The sequence below is a fragment of the Homo sapiens genome, chromosome 6 (genome assembly GCF_000001405.40).
Source record: "Homo sapiens chromosome 6, GRCh38.p14 Primary Assembly".
NCBI classification, from domain to species: Eukaryota; Metazoa; Chordata; class Mammalia; order Primates; family Hominidae; genus Homo; species Homo sapiens.
In genome coordinates, this window is record NC_000006.12 from 157,167,221 (window position 1) to 157,182,575 (window position 15,355).

Genomic DNA, 15,355 nt, shown 5'->3' on the forward strand with positions numbered 1-15,355 from the left:
CTCTCCCCTCTCCTCCTCTTAGGCTCCACCAGTGAATCTGCCTAAACGGCCCGAGAAGGTGGATCAGTTGGCGAAAGTGGGAATCATACTACTTTTCTGCTTCTCAGAAACTTGCTCCATCTATTTAAGACTTGAGAATTACATTATATTTTATGTAAATTATTTTTATTCAATCTGTGTTTGTATAACAAGTGGACATATTTCAAGTATTATTGGAGATTGTTAAATATGCACACTAAGTTCTCTTTCTCTTTGGGAATTATTAGTATTGGAAGATCCTCAAATTCTCTCCATTTGGTAGTGGTGGAGACAAACATTTCGAATTCACATTTCAGGGGAAATCGCTGGAAGGGCAGAGCAAGGGGGGTTTGAAGTACTTTTTACATTTAGGGAAACACCTCTAAATGTATGCTCGGAAGTAGCTGCTTCATAAATGCTCTGTGCAGATTGTCTCTATTGGGAAACTGTTTTAAATGTTTCATGATGTTTAGTTATTTTAACCCATTTTATAATCTCCACAGTAGCGTTCTTAAAAGTCATGCCTGATGATTGCAGTGGATGAGTAGCCAATGTGTGGAAAATATCAAGAGTGTCTGAGACTGTGCATATCTCCCATGATCTTAGACTCTTCAAGACCCTTGAACCCCCTCCTCAGGTTCCGTAACTACCTAAAGACAATGAGTACCACTTTTTACATAAAGTGATGTGTATTTCCAGCGACCTGTTACTCTCTGTCACATGTTAAAATGGATCTCACGGGAGGATTCCCTCCTTCAGAGACTGCAGGGCGTGGCTTAGCCAGTGTGTATCCCGTGATGCCCCGTGATGCGTTAGGAATGCATGGGACAGCCAGATCCTTGGTTCTTTCTGATTACATTTTTTCATTTCTTCTGCCTTCCACCTCCTTTCTGGCCTCTCTGTCTTTGAAAGTTCATGTCCCTGTGTCCGGCGGAACAGCCAGTGAGAGGCTGGGCTCGCCTCCTGTCTGAGCTTCTGCGTCGTTGATTTCTAGGACCTAATTGAAGGGTGACATTCCATGATAATTTCTCTTGAAAGATTTATGAAAGAGGAACACATAGAAACTAGTGGTAAAAATGAAGGTTTTTAAATAAATAAAATAGCCCTTCCTGATGCTGCGTTGAGTGCTTCTCCATCACAGTTTGGTGGATGTTTTACATTCGAGATGAAAGTGAAAAGCTTGCAAACAGCCTGTTAGCTGGAAGCCTCTTCTTTCCCTAATTTCCCTAACCAGTGCTGGCCCAGGTAACAGAATATTGGGTTGTGACATACTATGTTTTGTCTGACTTGCTGGAATAAAATTACTTGAGAGCATTGAAACCACACAATCAGTTTTCACCTAATATCAGCAGCGCTCATTTTCCCCGTCTTCCTTTGGACCCCAGAGCCACAGAAACAACCAACAACAAGCAGATGGCCCAGTGCCCTGCCTCAGAAGATTTATGTATTCCTAAGGAATAGCCAGCTTAATGGAGATTCACAGAGAGGGTTTCTTTCTATTCTTATTATTCAGATAATTCAGCTATTCGTTATTCCGTACAGAGGAAATCTGTTCAGTGAAAGGCCGTCCATCCTCACGATCTTTTGTATGGGGTGGTAGTGTATTTTTTTACTGCATTGTACATTTTGAAACATTGAATTTTTAATAATTTAAACATTTATCCAGTTTTCCTCTACACGTTGATCTGATTTTATCCCACCTTGATTAAGTGAAATGCATAACAGAGGAGGACTGGCCATTTCACATTGGCTGTGCACCTAGCAGCAGGTACACGTGAATCTGCTGTTACTGCGTTCTGATCTCTCAGAGAGACAGGAGTGACGCAGAGCGTTACAGCACAGCCCCTGTGAGCGTTGGGATGCGTCTACCTGACTGCACAAGAGAAGGGCCAGAAATGGTGGGATCACCATCACTCCAGTCTCCTTGGTTTGGGCCCATGGAGATAAATTACCAGTGATAACAGCAAAGCATTTCTCCATCAAAATATACTTTTGGAGAAAGCGAGGACAGCACAAATGATGGCCAGGTCTGGTGGTGGAATTTTCTGAACCTCAGCAGCCAGTGCAACCAGCATTCCAGCAATTCTCTTCACCGAGTTCAAACAACTGTGTTGTAGACAGTGTACGGGGCCAAAAAAAAATCCTCCTGTGTAGTGACAAATTGTTACAGGCTTCAGTGAGCAAGTAATTATTTAAATGGAGTCAGTGTGAGTATAAATGTGACAACTATTTCTTCACTTAAAATGCCAAGGGAAGGAGGATGGTAAGCAGTGGGAATTTTTCCTTCTAAAGAGCTTTTTTGGTTTTGTTTTGTTTCAATTATTTAGATTAAAAGGTTAGAATTATGTATTACTGTGGACAAAATTACAAATCACTGTAATACAATACATGTGTGATTGGTTAGGTTTTACTTATTTGTGTTGAATTTTATAATATTCATTAGTCATTTGCACTTGTCTGCATATAAACCGTCATCTTAAAGTGGACATCTAAATTCCAAAAACTTTATCTCCCATCTGTGGTTCTAAGTTTGCCTCACCAGACGCTACTCTACAAAATGTAGGGCATTTCTCCTACTGCCACCTATAAATAGCACAGGAGCGGCCATATGTGCTGCTGGAACCAGGCTTTCTCACAGAGAGCCCTGGGCACATTCCAGAAGTGAGTCCTTCTGCTAACCTAGCACCACTCAGTCCCAAACATGAAGTGTCCCGTTAATGCCCTGCCAGTACAGGGTATCCCAGCTCCAGCAGGCCTTTACGAAGAAAAAGGCAATCACACTACCACAAAAACTGAGAACCTCCTACCTCTGGACTTCCTGCAGTGCTTGTTAAAACTACCGATTCTGGGGCTCCCTTCAGAATTCTTGAGGTGGGTCCAGGAATCCGCATCCCTGACCACTTCCGCAGGTAGTTTTCATGCATGCAAGCTCAAGTTTGAGAAGCGCCAATGTGGAGGTATTTTGCTCAACAGTCTCCTGGCAGATCTGCTGCCAGCTTTGTGGGGCATTAGCTGTTTACCAGATGATTTGCTGTTTTGAAATTGAAAAAAAGAAAAGATTCACAAAACTACTCCTAGAATATCAATCTTCCAGCTGGATCACAGTTTTCTGTCTTGGGACTTCAGGGTCTCTCACAAAGGAAGGTTTGGGTCTTCAGCCTCATTGCGAGGGGCTGGTTGTCCGGGTTGTTTGTAGAGGTTGCTGGGGTGCTCACTTTCATGCTTGCTCTAAGGTAATGATTTCAAGTGAATTGCTGCCCTCCCACCATATACAAAGGACTTGATAAAAGGGTTTTGATAAGTTATGAAAACCAAATCTCTTAAACTGGGGGAAAATAGATCCTGAGATTATGCCAAAGTATGTGGATGGCTCCAGACTCTGTAGGTGGCTGGGGGAGCTGGTTTCCTTGGAAAGCCACCCAGCATGGCCAGTGTCCTGGGGGTGGCCACAGTGGGGAGGGGGCGCTGATGGCAATGATGGGGTATGCAGGGCCTCCAGGGTACTCGCTGGCCCCACTCTGTGCCATGGAGGGTCCTCCCGGTCAGGGCTGTCAGGGCCTTGCGTATCCAATGAGAGCAGTGCGTCTCCCGAGCCGTTCTTAGATCCTGTGTGTGTTACCTTCACAGTGGACTTTCTGTCTTGGCACATGTAAACATAGTCATGAACATCCGCGGATGTACATAGATCAGCCCTCTGTGTTTTCAAAAACAAGAAATCAAATATTTTGCAGTCTGGTATATTACCATGAAATGAAAAGAACTGTGCATTTCTGACCTATTTCACCATCTTCTGGAAATGATTTTGCAGACTTGTAAGGAGACTGAGTAAAGGAAGAGGAAGAAAGCAGGCATGAGTGTTGAAGTTCGGTTTGACTCATGTCATGTGTTCTTTACGTTCCTTTTGAATATATTAAATCCAGTGTGGAATAGCTGCCTTAGGACCTTGACCCACACTTACTTTAAGAAATCGTTCTAGTTCTTAAATTTCAATGGTAAAGCCAGAGGCTGGTGCTTGAAAAGTATTTACAGTGCTCAGGCAGCACTTTCTGCAGTTACAGATTCTTTACTGCCCCTTTTTATGTCTGAACTTTACATACTGGATTACTCGTGTCAATAGGAGAAGGAACAGTGCCTTGATTTAACACGTCCTTGTAATAGTCGTGGTCCTTCTCTTCTGGGAAAGGAGAAGAAATAGTGCCCCTGGAGTCCCATTGCCTTGGGAGGCATATGGCTCGTTTCAGTGATTCCTTGAGAATTCTGGTAAGAAGTCAAAAATAAGCATTTAAATAAAAAGAATAGTAAAAACCACAGTAAGGAAAGAGCTTCTGATCCATTTAGTAAAATAAAACATACATTTTATAAGGTAGAAATATTAAATAGAACCATTTATTACTCTAAATTCTATCCTTATTTATCTCTCAAAATAATAGAACAGTGCCACTTTTGATAATTTTTCTATTTGCACACCCAAAATGCCTGTTTTAAAATATATAATAGAGAATGAAGAAATTTGGGGAATTTCAGACCAACAATGTGTTTATATTCATGTAAGTCTGATTTTCAAATCAGTGTAAATTGTCAGTAATTTCCATAATACATATTGGCCTAGTTCTGTATGCTTACAAGTTGCGTTTGTGTACGCTAGCACATTTAATGCGTAAAATAGAATCTTACTATTCCTGCCTTCAAAATAATATTCATACATAATTTATTGTAAATACTGACAAAACTACCACTTAAAACCATTGGAGAAGCTCGATGCCACAGAAGCCATGTGCCCATGACTTTACCACTTTCTCTGGAATTGTTTTGGCTGTCATTCCTTTGAACCCGCTCTGAATCAACTAGCCAGGACATGTGGACTCGCATACATAAGCCCCTCTTTTCGCACTCATCCTGCTCTTTTATCCTTCTATTCTTCTGAAAAGGGTGTTTTTTAATGTACAGGTTTACTAATTCATATCTCGTTAGACCCCAGAGACAAAACTGCGTGGAAGCAGTCCAGTCCACTGCTTTGAACAAGGCGGTCTTCGCGGTGTAATATCTCTCAGCTGCTTGAGGTTTCACACATTCACAAAAATAACAGCATTTTTAGCTGATCCCAATAGATTTTTCTCTGCAGCTGCATCACTTGAAAAAGCTTTTTGTTCCAGTTCTTAAAGTCTAAGTATTGAAAGTAATTTGAAAAAAAGAAAAACATCCCAATTATGATTTGTGTGTGTTGTGATGACTTCAAGGACTGACTGGGCTGCAAATGGGCTTTGAAAAACAAGCCAATGCGCCCGTGGAAAAGACGGGATTTCAAAGTGTATTGTTGAGTGTGCTGATGTAAACTCATGGGCACGTGGCAGGGCAGGCTTTTTTGGCAGGACCTGTGGTCTCAACCTGCAGTGATGCTAACGATATTAGCAAATTAGCACCACAAAGCTTGCCAGCTAATTCACCAGAGCCTGCTCACTCTCTCACTGCTGTAATTAAAACTAATTATTTTCTAAAACATAGTAATACATGAATATGTGCAATAATCATTTTGTAGTGGGCAATCTGCGGAGCCTTTTTTAAAGCTTTTTTTTTTTTTCTTGGCACATAACGCTACATGTGTCCCGCCTTGGTTGAGCCAGCACTTTCATTTGCAGAATGTAGAATGGGCCCTGTTCATCAAACCTCAGGTTTATTTTCATTTGAAATAGGCCTGGTTTCTGGTTCTTCCCACTCATGTATAAGGCTCATCATTCTCTCCCGTCTCTCTCCTTCCCTCTCTTCCTCACTCTGACTCTTCACATCTGGTTGGTGCCTCACTCGCAGCCCCTGCAGCCCAGTGTTGCGCAGATGGTTTTCACAGTGGGGTTCTGTAGAAATTCAGCTGTTATTCCCTGGATAGCTACACTGATTCCTTACTCTAGTCTTGTTCTTCCACTAAAAAGAAATCTAAACCCATATTTTTAACCTGAAAATGTCTGCTGTATCTGCAATGAATGTGGAGAAATCAGTTGTTCTATGGTGAACCTTTGATGCTAAAGCCTAAATAGAATTGATTGGATTTCTGAGCCTAGTGCTAGAAAATGTGGTGTTGACTCTGGAGCTGCTGTGGGCCTCTGACCTGGGCATTGAGCTGCTGTAAGGGTTGATGACCACAGGCTCTCAGACAGACTGAAAGGATCCCAGCACAACTGCAAAGTAATCAGAAATCCTTTCCTTCCAAAATTTATTTTTAATTATATTGTTTTTGAAGCCATCTGCTGTGATTGTCTTCCCTTATTGTTGACTAGACTACGTGCAATAGATAAGGTTTTCAAAAGAAACACTGTGAAATGTCAAATAATTTTGCAAACTATAGATTATTTGCACTTATGAAATTGAGAAGGCACTAAATCCTCTAGGACCTAGGTAGAAAATACGCACACCCAGTATTTGCCTCCAACTCCTGATTAGTAATTTAAACATTTGCCTTATTTCCACTTGTTGCCTACTCTTTTGAAGGTATAATAATTTTGAAAAAATAATATTGATATAAGTTGACCTTCATAGGTTTGGGTCTTAAGCACACAGAATGACTGCCCTTTTTTTTAGATAAAAAAGGATTTTGCCAGAATGCGGTGCTGTTTGCATTTCAGAAATTAATATGCTCCCCATTACAATTTCTTTTTTCTTTTCTTCCTTCAAGGGAAATGCAAGGGCCTCCTGCTTCACTCTGTAACTTGTGTTGGCAGGAGTACAGTCTGACGAATCACACATATAATCCTAAACTCTTTCTCCTGTTTTCGATTAGCATCTGTGGGTCTTGCAGATATGATGTCTCCTGGTGAATCCAAACTGCCCCTGCCTCTCAAAGCAGACGGCAAAGAAGAAGGCACTCCACAGCCCGAGAGCAAGTCAAAGGTACTTCCTTCGCCTCTGCACGCGGTGTGAGGTCTGCCTAGCAAAAAGCTGCCATGTCGTTCTCTCTTCACTGGTGTTGGCCGACACTTTTTTTTCATTTGGTCTCCTCTGCATGCCTTCATTTTGTGCAACATGTTTGTAGTCTTCTTTTCTTTCCCCAGCCCCTTCATGGTGTGGATCTGAAAGTTACTAGTTCTTATGGCATTAACTCACGGTTGGGGGAGAGGGGTGGAGGGACAAGACCCACCTAAGAAAAATGCTTCGGGGTGGGGAGAAGTAGGGGTCCTGCCTGGTTTCGGTACTTGCAGCCATTTTCTCTGCCTTCAGTTTATAGCTTCCTGTTTTGGCCGCCTCAGCAACAACAACATACTTAATATTTTGCTTTCCTGCCTTATTTGATAAATAAGGTGAACAGCTTTTTTTTTTTCTTTCTTTCATAAGGGGTAACCCATGCTTAGCATTCCATGTAAGCTTGAAGTAAGCATGGTGGCGTACTGGCCTTCTCCAGCATCCAGCAGACTTACCCAATTATACTAATTAAGAATGTTGTTTTAATACCTTTATCTATGTGTGGTTTTGTGTGTTTGTTTGTACATGTCTTTATATATATATATATATATATAATATATATAAAAAAATTAGTTTGTTAAAGTGGATGTACTTTTTGTTATTTTAAATAAAGTTTGCCCTACCTTTGTCATTTTTTTTTTTTTTATTCCTCTACCACAGGATAGCTACAGCTCTCAGGGTATTTCTCAGCCCCCAACCCCAGGCAACCTGCCAGTCCCTTCCCCAATGTCCCCCAGCTCTGCTAGCATCTCCTCATTTCATGGAGATGAAAGTGATAGCATTAGCAGCCCAGGCTGGCCAAAGACTCCATCAAGCCCTGTAAGTGGCTCTGGTTTTTTTTTGTTTTTTTTGTTTTTTGTTTTTTTGGGGTTTTTTGATAATTAATTAATTCTACTTGAATGCTTGCTTGTTTATTTGTTTTGTAAGACTTTTTCTTCATTATTTATCCATGAAAGGGTTTTCTTTATAAATAATAATATTAGTGACAAAATGAATAAAGTTTGCGTGCATCAAAGAAGTTGATTTCTGGTAATGAAAAAGCTGTTATAAAGAAGCACCTCTATACAAAGCATGCGAGTGTGTTAACTGGGTCCAAACTCCTTCACACAGTGACTTTTTAAAAATGTCTGATCCATTATGCACTTATAGAAGATTCTTCAAATGCGTTACTTCTCCATTTATATGGGAACTAATAGCAGCCATTGACTGAATGATAAGTTTGGCCCCTGACCTGTATTTTGCATGTTCTATCTATTTCAAAACTGCCTACCTGAAAGAAGTAAATACTCAATTTGGGTATGGTTTAGTGTAACATCAGCCCTGCTTTATTTTTAACCCATTTGTCTGAAATTAATAAAAACGTACAAGTTGTTAGTATGTGAATGAATTTTTAGTTTAATAATGTGTACCTATGTTAGAATCAGTTGAGATAGAACAATTGTATTCTGCACAAGACTGCTGATAATCTTGAAATTAAGTGTTGATTTTTGTATGATATATAAATTATAACAAAAATGTCACGGATGTATCAGGGAATTTTGTAAGCCTCAATGTTCTTCTGACCCTAGAAGTGGGCCTTTAGTTTCCTACTAAAGAAATTCTGTACCATTAGAGAGAAAAAAAAAATGGTGCTGAAGCAACCTTTATTTTACATTCATATAAAGAATCAAAAGATCTTAAAAAAAAAAAAACAACATGCAATTACTTGCCAAGAAGGCTTAATTAACATGCTCATTTCTGTAAGGCGATGTATTGACGAGCACGGCTCAGGAAGGCAAGTTGGAGGCAAGAAGACCCTAGCTGTGCAGAATCTGGCAATCTAGTCAAAACCCCAAAAGGAGGCTGCTATTAATTATCCATTCACTGGTTTAAACAGATAGAGCCTGAAGGCTTGAAGAGTTGGTTGTTCTAGTAAATGTTTGTAAAATTCACATGCAGCTCTAGGATAACCAGCATTTTCCCTTTCAGAGGAGGAAAGGGCGATATTCGCTCTTACCTTCTCTGTAGCTACGTTTCGATTTTGCAGCACCCGTGATGAAAGAGAAAGCGCTTCTAGGATGGGTATAGCAGACAGTGCGCTTCTAGGAGGGGTGCATCCGAACTCGCAGGAAGGGGCGCAACTCCTGCATTTTGATGTCTTTGTGTTATTTGCTTTGAGTCTCAGAAGGCAGCCGACATTGTGTTTTTCCCTCATAGTCTGCCCTGGTTTTTTGTTTTGTTTTCTTTTTTTAATAGGAAAAGCATTCCTGAATCAGTAATGCTCTCAAGTTAACAGGTAGAATTCAGATAACTTCTCAAAAGTATTTGTGTGTTGGCCCAGAGGGAGAATTTCAGAGGTTAAAAATAATAATCTTTAAAACTTAAGATAATAATTAAGGGCCGGGTGCGGTGGCTCACGCCTATAATCCCAGCACTTTGGGAGGACGAGGCGAGTGGATCACCTGAGCTCAGGAGTTCAAGACCAGCCTGGCCAACATGGTGAAACCTTGTCTCTACTAAAAATACAAAAATGAGCCAGGCATGGTGATGGGTGCCTGTAATCCCAGCTACTCGGGAGGCTGAGGCAGGAAAATCACTTGAACCCGAGAGGCGGAGGTTGCAGTGAGCCGAGATCGCGCCACTGCACTCCAGCCTGGGCGACAGAGTGAGACTCCATTTCAAAAAAAAGATAATAAGAATGAGCACTTATTAAAAAGAAAGACTAACAATAGACCATATTATATTGTTTAAAACTTTTCATCTTGCTAATTTCATTGACTTATAAAGAAGGCTTGAGATAGTCACAATATTTTAATTCACTAGTTAAGATTATCTCCATCCACTGTAGGAGACTTTATCAAAATCTGACTTTCTCCTTTAATGTAAGACAATAGCAAACTGAATTATAAACTTTGTTTTCTGATTATAATTAAACTTGAAATTGTGTATTTTTTCTCAATATTTCCATATATATGATCTCTTCCTGTACCATAAATAGTTTTAAGAATTTGCAAGCAAACTTCTGGCTCCTGTAGTAGATAGGAACAAGAGAAGCTGAAGTTCACAGTAGTGGAAAATGTCAGATTATTGCTCTGTGTTGAGAAAACAGCCACTTTTTTGAATGAGATGCTAATTCAAAAAGGGGAGCAAAAGAGAGTATAATGAAGAACCTAACATTATCTCTGCTATCAAATCACTGCAAATACATGCAACCCCGGAATAGTTAACTGCTCTTTCTGAGATGCCGCTTCAATTTGGGCTTAAAATTGCTCTTAATAGTGTCCTTAATAAAGCCTGTCTAACAGCAGGTCTGGAAAAGGCAAAATGATGAAGATGCTCTATGCTTTGACAGTGTACTGTGGACCAACATTGTTTTGTTACAGAACATTCTAAAATAAAAATAAACATTTGTCCATACACATACACATACACATATTACCAGGCATATGGTAAAGACTGCTGAAATGTAAATCTGCCTAAAAGACTTGAGGAAAATGTACTTATAGGCTTAATTAAAGTATATGCAAGGAAAACATTTGTGGCACCATAATAATGTCTTGCTGTAATTTTACAGCAATTTCCATTCCTTTTTCTTGCCTCCACAAAGTTTCACAGCAGTAGGATACAATTTTTGCAACACTGAGGCGGTACTAGGTAGGCCTTAGTGACTGGGAAAAGTGAACCCGTCTTTCCGAAGGGCGAGTTTGTTTGCCTACTGTCAGTGGGAGGAGTGTAAATGAAGACCTTTATCCAAAGCCAGCGTCTATGAACAAGGACAGTATGTTTGGAGCCTGGTCAGTGATGAGAGTGATAACGTACATGCTCTCTATTCACTAAGTCTTTAATTGCGCTCTGTTCAGACACTAAATATTGGCTGTGGTCATTGCCTGCCCAGTATGCGAACCATAAGCTGGGGTGGAGGCGTTGAGTGCTGGCAGCGGACGCAACCTCTTGCTCAGCCTTCAGTCTTACTAGACTGTGCCCACGTTCACTCCACACCTTGCTCGGTGAAATCCTGTTTATAGGATATTTGAATCAGCTGTTAATTCCTGTTAGCATGTTCCAAGCGTTTCACACCCTTTTTGTCCATTGGAGTAATCACTCATGGAAAAAAAAAATGCTATCACAGCCCTCCAGCATGCAGAGCACCACGCTAAGTGTTGGTGATCAGCATCCACCCAAACTCTGACTTGTGAAACTTAGGATCTAGTCGGAAAAGTGGGTGTCAGACAAATAGTTACGTGCAAAACATACAGTTTTACACAGTGTGTGACGTCGTGCTGCAAAGGAAAAGTAAAGCGTGTGGCAGTGGTGAAACTGAGGCCCTGGTTCAGCTAAGTGAGCCAGCCTCGGGAGGCCTCTTCCGAATTTATCACGTAAACTGAGGCCTGACCGTGTCAGTTCCCTGCAGATGCAGTTTCCTACATTATGGTGCCATAAAAATGCCTCTTAGAAGATCTAAAAATTATGAAAAAGAACTATTCTCTTAGAAAGTATCTTCATTTAATTTTTCCAGTGTTATGACAACAAATTGAGATAGGCACAAGTTAATTAAACTTAAGTTTATTTAACCAAGGAGAGAAAAGTTAATATATAGTCAAACTGTGTCCATCATTATCTCAGGCCTATTCCAGCTTGTAAGAATCCAGTCCCTTCAGAAGCAAGAACAAGCATTTCTGTGCCCCGTTGCTCTGTTCATGATTCTATTCATCCAGAACCACTCCCCAGTTTCAGTTTAGAGAGGACCAAACCAGGAACGGCAGATGGATCTTACAAACAGGATATTGGTTGAGCTAATTGGAGCAATTTTAAATTGAAATGATTGCCTTTATTTGTCTTATCTTTAAACTGAATCTCAAACTTTTACCTCAGTTTTTTACAAATAAAATGCAAGAGGGAAGTTGTTTTACTGTTAACTGATTATAGATTATAATGCCTTTTTCTTCATGTTCTTATTTCAATTTTTCACTTTTGAAAACGTTGGACCCATTTTTTTAAGTGTAACTCCCCAAAGAAGAAAAAAACTCTATACTAAAATTTAGAAACCTCCTAATAATAACTGTCCCGTTAATAAAAAAGAAAACTCCATACTAAAATTTAGGAACCTGTTTTTAATAACTGTCCCATTAATGACGGCAGAGCTTCTGAGGTGCTGCCCGGATGAGAGTCTTGTGTAAAGTGTGTTAGAGCAGCCTCTTTTCCTAGTCAAGTAGGCCTTGGGTACAAGGATATGAAAAATAAGCTTTAAAAATTTATTTGGATATATAGTTTCTATATTCTAAGTGTACATATGGGTTTATAGACATATATATATTCACACATATATGAATATGTATACATATATATTTTTTAAGCTCTTATCTAAAGTGGTTTTTAAGTGATGTGAAGTTTAACCTCAGCATCAAAGTATATTCTAAAATATAAAACAACTATTTTTTATCATTCTACATTTTTTATTTACATCAACTGTATCACCCATTACATATTTGATAAAGAGGTTATGCCTCAGTAATTCTGAAGCTGAAGGCTTAAAATCTCAGCCCAGTGACTCTGGAGAATCACGTGTTAGTTAAAGGGAAAGCGGCGGCCTCACATGCTGCGTAAGTTTCATTCTCAGGCATCCTTTCTGAGGGACCTACTTTTACTGGAGATCATTCTGCTAAATAAGGTAACATCTAGCCTCAATGGCAGTCATGTTAGTTAACCCCCTAAACCTTCAAAAATATGTTTAAAATTATGTTAAGCTAAATAAAGAAAAAAGGAAAAAAAACTTAAGAATTCTGTCTGTAATAATTTCTCTATATTGCAAATAATAACCTAGGTATGCATAAATAAAGTAAATTATTGTTCCAAGAAATCTTTATTGAGAACTGAGAAAAGATTTTGTACAATAACCCTAGTATTGCAAATATTGTAAATATTTTTACAAATACAGAGATATAAATAAGAAAGGGAAGAGATACAGTTGGCCCGCCTAGGGCTAAAAGTGTTACCTGTCCAGATTATGTAATCCACGGAGTAGGCTTCAGGTGTTCAGAAACGGCAACTCTTGATATTTTAGTGTCAGGTAAAAGCAGGTACATAGAAACCCAAGAACTAGAGTATCAATATAAAACACATGAGCATATAAATACATGGGCATAAAAATAAATGTATATGTTTATCCATAAATCCCAAAGCTTTGGTTGACCCTTAGTTTATCTAAAAAAAAAAAACAAAAAAAAACAAAAAACACACGAGCTTATAGCCCACACCACTGGTTCCCGTGACTGGAAATCTACCTTATATTTTTCAGCAAGCACCGTGTGGTTGCTCATCCTCCAGATGCTGTAGCATTTTAACGAAGACACCCTTTAGCCATTCTTGTTTTGACAAGGAAAAGTAGGAGTCCATTTAATGTTTTGGGCTCTATAATATCACATGTAAAAATTTTAATTCACTATGATCATTCCATGAGCTAGAACCCTTTTATTTTTAAAAATAACATGAGGTGTCACTGGAATTTTGCCTTCTGGGATTCAACGCTTATATCCAAAAAGGGCTTTGTTCTTTTTTGTTTTTGTTTTTAAGTGTATAAAAGGGGGAGTTTGGGCCTTTTATTTAAAGTAAAAGTAAATTCCTAACTAAGAAAATGTATAGTTTGTGCCTGAACTAGTAGCCTTCATTCCTAATTGTTGTGTGATAGCAGTAGTTTTTAATCTCTTCTCTTCTTGTATTTGTTAGCTCATTACTTTTTTCTCACCTTCTTCCCTCTCCCTCTGCCCACCCATGCCCCACCTCCACATGCTGCTTCTGGGTACTAGAAGTCCAGCTCCTCCACCACTACTGGGGAGAAGATCACGAAGGTGTACGAGCTGGGGAATGAGCCAGAGAGAAAGCTCTGGGTCGACCGATACCTCACCTTCATGGAAGAGAGAGGCTCTCCTGTCTCAAGTCTGCCTGCCGTGGGCAAGAAGCCCCTGGACCTGTTCCGACTCTACGTCTGCGTCAAAGAGATCGGGGGTTTGGCCCAGGTAAGAATGAGTGAGGGAGGGGGTGAAAAAGGAAGCATTGTGGATAAGTTCTTACAGTGGCTTTCTTTGAATGTGTGGACTCATTTTTTTTCTCACAAAGGAAAAGCTAAGCCTGTGTGAAAGTCGCCTTCTTGCAACCCACGTCTGTGTGCTGTCAGGGAGCACTGGGGGACCCTGGCTCTGCCACCAACTCGCAGCGTGACCTCAGCAGGTCATGTTCTTGGACCTCAGTTTCGTCATGTATACAGCGGGCCAGACTAGATTTTCCTGTAGGTTTTCTTACAGCTCCAGAATTCTCTGGAATCTGCCAGTAGTTCATAGTAAATACTCAGAAATGTTTTACAAATGACTGAATTAATTATCTGTGTCAGATATAAGTCACATTTACTGCTTCCCTCTATCCAGAACAGGTTAGCAGGAAAATTAAGTGATACTTGTCAAACCATGCCCACAATAACTGGACAGTTAGGAGGGCCATTGCTGTGACCTCCAGCGGGCTAGGCCTGAGGTGTGACAGGGGAGCTGCCTGGGGTGCAGATTTAAGGAGCTATCCACTGTGTGCTTGCTTGACTCTCAGAGTGAGTGCGTCCTGAAGTCTCATACCCCAGGCACCGGCTTTCCTCACTGTAGCCCTCGCTCCTTAATCAGGAGTCTAGTTGTAGGACCACGCCCTGTCATAGGAACAGGGAAAAGGTACTCACTGTGTAACCTTTGTCTTTCTAAATACATGAGTCACCAGCCCCAAAGCATAGATGAGAAAACTCCTGTGTAACAAAATCAAGTACAGGATGGGGTGCAGTGGCTTACACCTGTAATCCCAGCACTTTGGGAAGCCAAGGCAGGAGGATCACTTGAGGCCAGGAGTTGCAGACTAGCCTGGGGACCCCAGTAAGACTTTGTCTCCATTAAAAACTACAAAACTTAGCCGGGCGTGGTGATGCACACCTACAGTCCCAGCTGTTCAGGAGGCTGAGGTGGGAGGATCACTTGAGCCCAGGAGTTCAAGGTTACAGTAAGCTTTGATCACACTACTATACTCCAGCCTGGTTGACAGAGCAAGACCCTGTCTCAATAAAAAATAATATATTTTTTAAAAAATAGAATAATGCTGTAGCCCAGGGACACTCACAGGGTAGTTGGTGGGGCCAGGTCTGTCTGACTCCAGACACATACTCTTCCCATTTGCCACTGGTTCTGGAGTCCAGCTATGCATTAGAATGGCCTGGGCAGCTTTTCAAAGCTGTCAGTACCTGGGCTACCACCCGACATCAATGAAATGAAACCTTCTGTGCCCAAGGTAATCTAACAGGCAGTCAGAATCAGGCGCCCTGCGCCCCACCAAGGTGGCGGGGGTCACTAACTATCCAAGGGCAAGTCATCTGCCCTGCAGGTGTCAC

At 40.6% G+C, this 15,355-nt stretch overlaps 1 protein-coding gene across 38 annotated transcripts in view; it reads left to right on the plus strand.

Moving 5' to 3' along the window:
• ARID1B (AT-rich interaction domain 1B) overlaps nt 1–15,355 on the plus strand; it is a 434,754-nt gene that overhangs the window by 391,195 nt on the left and 28,204 nt on the right. For 20 of the 38 annotated variants that reach the window (XM_011535984.3, XM_017011104.2, XM_047419135.1 and 17 more), the window contains 3 exons: nt 6,788–6,897; nt 7,627–7,785; nt 13,749–13,958. In XM_011535984.3, coding sequence (XP_011534286.3) covers nt 6,788–6,897; nt 7,627–7,785; nt 13,749–13,958 — 479 coding nt within the window. The remainder of the gene's footprint in view (nt 1–6,787; nt 6,898–7,626; nt 7,786–13,748; nt 13,959–15,355) is intronic. The other 18 variants (NM_001371656.1, XM_017011105.3, XM_017011106.3 and 15 more) reach the window with 1 other exon arrangement.